The 6,000-nt window shown below is 55.6% G+C and overlaps 1 protein-coding gene across 2 annotated transcripts in view, besides 3 other annotated features; it reads right to left on the minus strand.

Moving 5' to 3' along the window:
* The window catches only part of RAB11FIP5 (RAB11 family interacting protein 5), a 39,567-nt gene extending 35,111 nt beyond the window's left edge, over positions 1-4,456 (minus strand). For both annotated transcript variants that reach the window (NM_015470.3, NM_001371272.1), the window contains exon 1: positions 3,855-4,456. In NM_015470.3, the coding sequence (NP_056285.1) occupies positions 3,855-4,285 (431 nt within the window). In that variant the 5' untranslated portion in view covers positions 4,286-4,456. The remainder of the gene's footprint in view (positions 1-3,854) is intronic.
* Positions 3,064-3,307: a silencer, noted in NCBI's record as "fragment chr2:73338684-73338927 (GRCh37/hg19 assembly coordinates)". NCBI's record gives its function as "represses an EF-1alpha promoter that drives an FKBP-Casp9 reporter gene in an ReSE screen in HepG2 liver carcinoma cells {active_cell/tissue: HepG2}" and the evidence as "EXISTENCE:reporter gene assay evidence [ECO:0000049][PMID:32094911]".
* Positions 4,465-4,554: a silencer, noted in NCBI's record as "silent region_11632". NCBI's record gives its function as "represses an Ori minimal core promoter by ATAC-STARR-seq in GM12878 lymphoblastoid cells {active_cell/tissue: GM12878}" and the evidence as "EXISTENCE:reporter gene assay evidence [ECO:0000049][PMID:35858748]".
* Positions 4,625-4,784: a silencer, noted in NCBI's record as "silent region_11633". NCBI's record gives its function as "represses an Ori minimal core promoter by ATAC-STARR-seq in GM12878 lymphoblastoid cells {active_cell/tissue: GM12878}" and the evidence as "EXISTENCE:reporter gene assay evidence [ECO:0000049][PMID:35858748]".

Consider the following 6,000-nt stretch of genomic DNA (forward strand, 5'->3'; position numbering starts at 1 on the left):
CCCAACCAAAATGGCCTTGTGGCAGATGCCCTGTCTTCTTACTCCAAAACCTTTGCTGCTGCTTCCTTCCTTCCCTCTTCTGATATATCCAGGTCCATTCCCTGGGGGTGTGATCCACACCAATCGCATAAAGACCAAAAAGGTCCAAATGACCCATCTGACCCCACAGGGAACAAGGAAAACTAACTAACCACCACATCCCATCCCTGTCTTGGGAGTTAGGGAGGCAAACACAGGACACCCACTGGGGAGTGCTAAGAAGGACGTTGGGCCAGGCGTGGTGGCTCATGCCTGTAATCCCAGCACTTTGGGAGGCCAAGACAGGTGGATCACCTGAGGTCAGGAGTTTGAGAACAGCCTGGCCAACATGGCAAAACCCAGTCTCTACTAAAAATACAAAAATTAGCTGGGTGTGGTGGCACATGCCTGTAATCCCAGCTACTCAGGGGACTGAGGCAGGAGAATCGCTTGAACCTGGGAGGGAGAGATTGCAAGTGAGCCCAGATTCTGCCACTGCACTCCAACTTGGGCAACAGAGTGAGACACTGTCTCAAAAAAGAAAAAAAAAAGGATGTTGAAGATAAAAACCAGAAAATAAATCGCAGAGAAGCATCCAGGATTTCCAGACCAACAGGAACATGACGATCCATGGACAGTTCTACTGAGGGTGGGGAGATCATTAGTTTCCTTGTGTACTACCATTACATTTTGTTTTGAGAATATCCTCTTCAATTATTTGGAAGCCTCTGGTGAAATTCCTCATTTCAAAGACTGCCCCACTCACACAAGACCTTCGGAGGCTGCTGAAGCACCTACAACCCCAGCCACCACCATCACACAAAATGGGGCCCCAGAGTCACCACCACGCTAATATTTTGAGAGCTTCTATGTATCCAGAACTACATTAAGGCTTTTACAGATGGTGTCTTATCTAATCTGTACAACTCTATGATTATTATCATGACCTTTTTCAAAGTGAGGAAGTGGGATAAGTAACCTGTCTGCTGGTAAGTCACAGAACGGGGAGTGAAATCCCAGTCTCCAGGTTTTTAAGCCCTGGGCCATCCTTCCTTCCCAACAGGGCAGGGGCAGCTCCAGGCAGGGCTGCCAGGGAGGAGAGCTGCAGAGCTGCGGGCTTATCTGAGCCTGGTTTCAGGACTGCAGAGGCCTCTCAAGCCCAGCCCTATTTCTTGGGCCTCTTGCAGCAAATAGAATACAGAGAGCTGCAAAGGGCCAGCTCATTTTGTTGGGAACTCTCGTACTCTTCTGTGTACTCCGTCACCCATGGTCCTAAGGCTTTCCTAGGCTCTAAGTTCTAGACTGTCTCCCCCATCCCATAAGAAGCTCTTCCAGACATTGTTACTAAAATCTCCCTTCACCATCACTGCTCTGCACTGACCACCTACCATGTACAGGGACTGTACTAGGTGCTTAAGCTGCATTTTCATTTCATCCCTCACATCAACCATATGAAGGTATAAATTATCTCCATTTTACAGACGTGAAAACTGAGGCACCAAGAGTTTATATGACTTGCCACAGGTGGCAGTTTTGGGACTGGGATCTGTCCAGTGCCACTCTGTAGCCCCTTCCTAACCATAAGGGTACCTTCCCCAGTCAGGTCCTCTCTTGGCAAAGGGCCACCACCTGCCCTACCTGAGACCACCACAGCCAACTCCTGGAGTTAAAGAATGGATACTTTTCATTTCCACCATTATCCAAAGCTGAGGAGGGTACACCCTGGTCTTCTCTGCCTTGCCCTCTCCCTACCAGGCAGCGTTCAGACTCAGTCTTGGTAGCCCACACCAGGGTGCTCCAGGAAATACCACCAGGAATGACCACTACAGCCAGAGGTGGGGACCACAGCGGGGGTGACAGCCCTCCCCCTCTGTCAGTGGGCATGCTGTTAGGTCCAGTAAACTAGAGCACCAGGCCAACTTCACAGACTTTCCTCTGCCCATCCTAAGTGACCCTCCCCACTCCTGTTCCCCCCCCGGTTCTATAAATAAACCAGGTTGTTGCATCAGAGAAAACAGCCAGGTGGGTGTGGAAAGATCCTGGTGGAAAAGATGATTTCTATAAAATAAATTAAGGTTCCCATTCAGATCAAGGGGTGGTAAGTCAAATTCTCCAAGACAGGCTGTTCTTGGCTGAAAATGGGTCCACCTGGACCTACAAGCTTGGCCAGCTCAGCTAAGGAAGATCCAGAGGCCAAGAGGAAAGCAAGGGCAGGAACTGGAAAAAACAATCAAAGAAGCTGCTCCCTGCAGGCCTGGAGCCTTTTTTTGGTCTGCCTCCTCCTGTTCCCCCAGCACCCCCTGAACAGATGTGTCATCTAACAGTCTGGTCAGAGTAGCTGATTGGTGGAGGGTGAAGGACTGGGGGAAGGGGTGGAATGATTTGGGGGATAGGCACCTCTTCTGAAAAAGAATGGGCTAAGAGATCCAGGAGAGAGCTTTTCGCCCCATATACCCACCCCCTTGGGCTCCAGGAACCAGGAAGGAGGGAGAGGACAGAAAGGAGGAAAAAAACAAGGTCCAAGCTATATACCACATGATCCCACACCCTGCCACCAAACAGCAAGTCATGAAGGAAGGCGGGGAGCAGGCCAGGGGATGGGGAAATGGAGTCAGGTCACAGCCATGCCTGGAACCTGCACTAACGCCCTCCCCATCCCAGACCACAGAGAGCCAGCCAGGAAAGTCATTCCACACCCATGTTTCAGAAAACATTCAAGGTCAGATCCTTTTTACCTAAATCCTGCTTTCATTTGGGTTTGCACCAGGCTCATCCCCCTCCTCCAGCAAGCCTTCCTGGATTTATTCACTCAGTGGATGCCATTCCACTGGGGCAAACCTTTCCGGCACCTCTCCTGACCTAAGGCACAGTCCTGCCCCAATCCCCTTACCCTCCTACCCAGATCACTCCCAAGTTAACCACTTGAGTGATCCACAGCAGGCTGTCAGCCCCGGGGACTGGCTTCCAGCTCCTGCCCAAGCCCAAAACAGGAAATGGGGCTCCAAGGCTGAAGCCTTGATCTTAACACAGGCAAGGTTAAATGCTGCCAAAATAAATGATTTAAAAAAACCCTGGCCCACTGAGGTGGAAGTGACCGGGAGATAATCTCCTGCTGTTCATTAACCATGCCGCTGCCTCTACCTCAGGCAGGGCAGGGCAGGCAGGCAGGCCACTGGAAGGCTGACTCAAGTGTTTCCTTCCTTAACTTAGAAGCTCCTCCTATCCTCAGACCAGGGACACAGGACACAGAGGGACAGGATGGGGGTGGGGGGGTGACATCTCTAGATAGTGGAGGGCATCTTGAGAGCAAGAGGCAGATGCCCCCTGCAGCCAGCTTCTACGTTTAGCGGGGTAATCAACATTCAACCTCGCCCTGGAGGAAGACACCTGGCTTTCCTTCCCCCGTAGGGCAAGGCTGCGCCTCTCCACTCCCCTGCCGGACAGGCGCCCGCAGTTCCCCTCCCCTTTGAGGAAAGGGAGGCAGGCCCGGAGGTTCTAAGAACGGCCCCAAGATTTCCCTTCTTGAGGTTTCCATAGCCCCAAAGCCTCTGAATCTCATTCCTAACTTTACTTGACAATCTACTCCTAACGTTCGCCACCACTTAAACCTCCCCCAGGCCTCCCAGGGACCACCAGTGGCTGAGCCCCACACAGCGCACGTTTGGGAAGCTTGAAGACGACCCCGAAATGCGAAGAACCAACGTTTCTGTCGGTTTACGCCCTTAAGCACGAGGCAAGGGCTCACTGGCCCGGCTGAAGTTCGGGGTCCTGATCCCCCACCAGCCCCGCCCTGTTAGGCCTTTAGCCGTTTCTGTGCCCCCGCGCCCCCTACTCACTGCGTGTGCTGGGCGCGGCCTGCGCCGAAGACCTCGTCCAGCGCCACCGTGGCCTGGCCCAGGAACTTGTCGACGCCGATGAGCGAGCGGTGCATGGTGGTGAGCACCAGCTCGCAGGCGGCGGCGGAGCTCGCGGCCCAGGGCGCCGGGCCCGCGTCGGCCTCCTGCGCCCGCAGCAGGCCATCCAGGGCCCCCGGCGGCAGCTCGAAGGAGCACTCCTCACGCCACTCGGGGCAGCCGTGCGTCTTCTCCACCACCGACGTACTGTACTTCTCGCGGCCCACCTGGATCACCGTGTACGCGTCGCTGGTGCTGCCCGCTCCCGAGCTCTTGCCCCGCAGCCCGCGGGCCCGCAGCACCGTCACCTGGACGTGCGTGGGCAGCCAGCGGGAAGGCCCCGCCGCCGGCTCCGCGCCCCGCACCAGGGCCATGGCGGAGAAGCGGGGGGCGAGGTCTGGCCGAGCCGGTGCAGACCCCAGGACCTGGTGACAAACCCGGCCGCGGCAGAAGGCGGTCAGGAACCAACTCTGAGCGCCGCCGCAGCTGCGGGCTGGGCTGGGCCGGGCCGACCGGCCGCCGCCTCCCCGCCTCACCGGGCCGCTGGCCGCGGGCCGCGCCGCGACGTCAGCGCCCCGCCCCCTGCCCCGCCCCGCGCCCGCCGCCCCAACCGGCGAGGCGGTGCGACAGGGATGCGGGCACGCAGCTCGCGCCCCGGCAGCCGCAGACCAGCCCGGAGCGGGAAGGGGCGGTGCGCGGCCTCTGCAGAGGGTGGGCGGAGTTCCCGCGGTGGCCCCGCCCCTGGCTGGGGGCGCCCGAAGCAACCCGGCCTCGCTTGTGGGGAGCCCTACACCCGCGGCCAGGTACGAAAAACCCGCTCTGCGCCTCCAGGCCAATCCCACGTCTTCCTTCTAAAAGTCCCTGCTCCGGAAAGCCCTCTCCGTAAAAGGGTCCCGGCCCGCAGTTCCTGGGATGGCCAGCCTCTTGGCGCGGACTTGGGGTGATGGGGACCCCCGCCGCTCCCCTGACCCCGGGCCGCGCTCTCCCCTCCTCCAGTCCGCCCCTGCGGGGGAAAATGCCGGAGTGAAACTGGAGCGATTGCCGCCCCGCCACGTGACGGTCCCGCATCGGCGACCTGGAAGCGGGTGAGCTGCCGCCGCCTCCAATCTCTCCCGGCGCAGGGGGCCGGGATGCGGCCATGCGGCGGCGCGGGAGGCCCGAGAGCGGGGCTCACCCTCCTCAGACTCTGCGGCGGAGAGCCGAGTGATGAATAAATGAGTAACCACATCAATATTTAAGTGTTCACTCGGAGCCTTGGGGCCAGTGTGTCACGGGTTGGGGGAAATTACAGGCCCTGGTGGGGGGTTAAATAACTACTTCCACCCATTATTAAGTGCCTACTGTGTGCCAGGGCCTAAGTATTAACGTATACTTGGTTTATTATTGATAATAACGATGTTTAGTAATTATAGATGCTGAATTTCAGCCAACTCTGGTCAGTGCGCTTTTATATGCATTACCTCATTTTATCCTCAGAGCAACTCTGTGGGGTGAGTATGGCTTTTATCCCTATTTTCCAGAAGATAAAATGTCAGCTCAGATGGGGGAGGGTTGTGAATCCACTAGATGCCCCCAGAGCGTTTTTTTTTTTTTTAACTTTCAGAGCCTGTACTTTTAAAATAATAATTTAAAAATAATACACACAGCTTTTTTAAAAAAATCAAATAGGACAGAATGGCTTGCAATGAAAAGCAAGAACTCCCTCTCCATCCTTCAATCCAGGGATGCTGCTTAAAGCCACTGGTGTTTTCAGGTCTGATGGTTACCTCCACATCACTACATTAAGATGCTCACATAGCTACATCTGCATTTATCAGGACTGGCCACTGTCTGTTGCCTTCCTCCTATGATAGATAATGATTTAGCTGGCTCACACCCACTTCCATCCCTCAATCTTGTGTAGTTATGCTATTATTTTTAGTTCCTCTATAGCAGGGGTCCCCAACCCTTGGGCCACAGACTGGTAACCCTCCATGTCCTGTTAGGAACTGGGCTGCACAGTAGGAGGTGAGTGGTGGTAGGGGCTAGCTGGTGAAACTTCATCTGTATTTACAGCCGCTTCCTATCGCATTACCGCCTGAGCTCCACC

This window comes from Homo sapiens, chromosome 2, assembly GCF_000001405.40.
Source record: "Homo sapiens chromosome 2, GRCh38.p14 Primary Assembly".
Taxonomy (NCBI): Eukaryota; Metazoa; Chordata; class Mammalia; order Primates; family Hominidae; genus Homo; species Homo sapiens.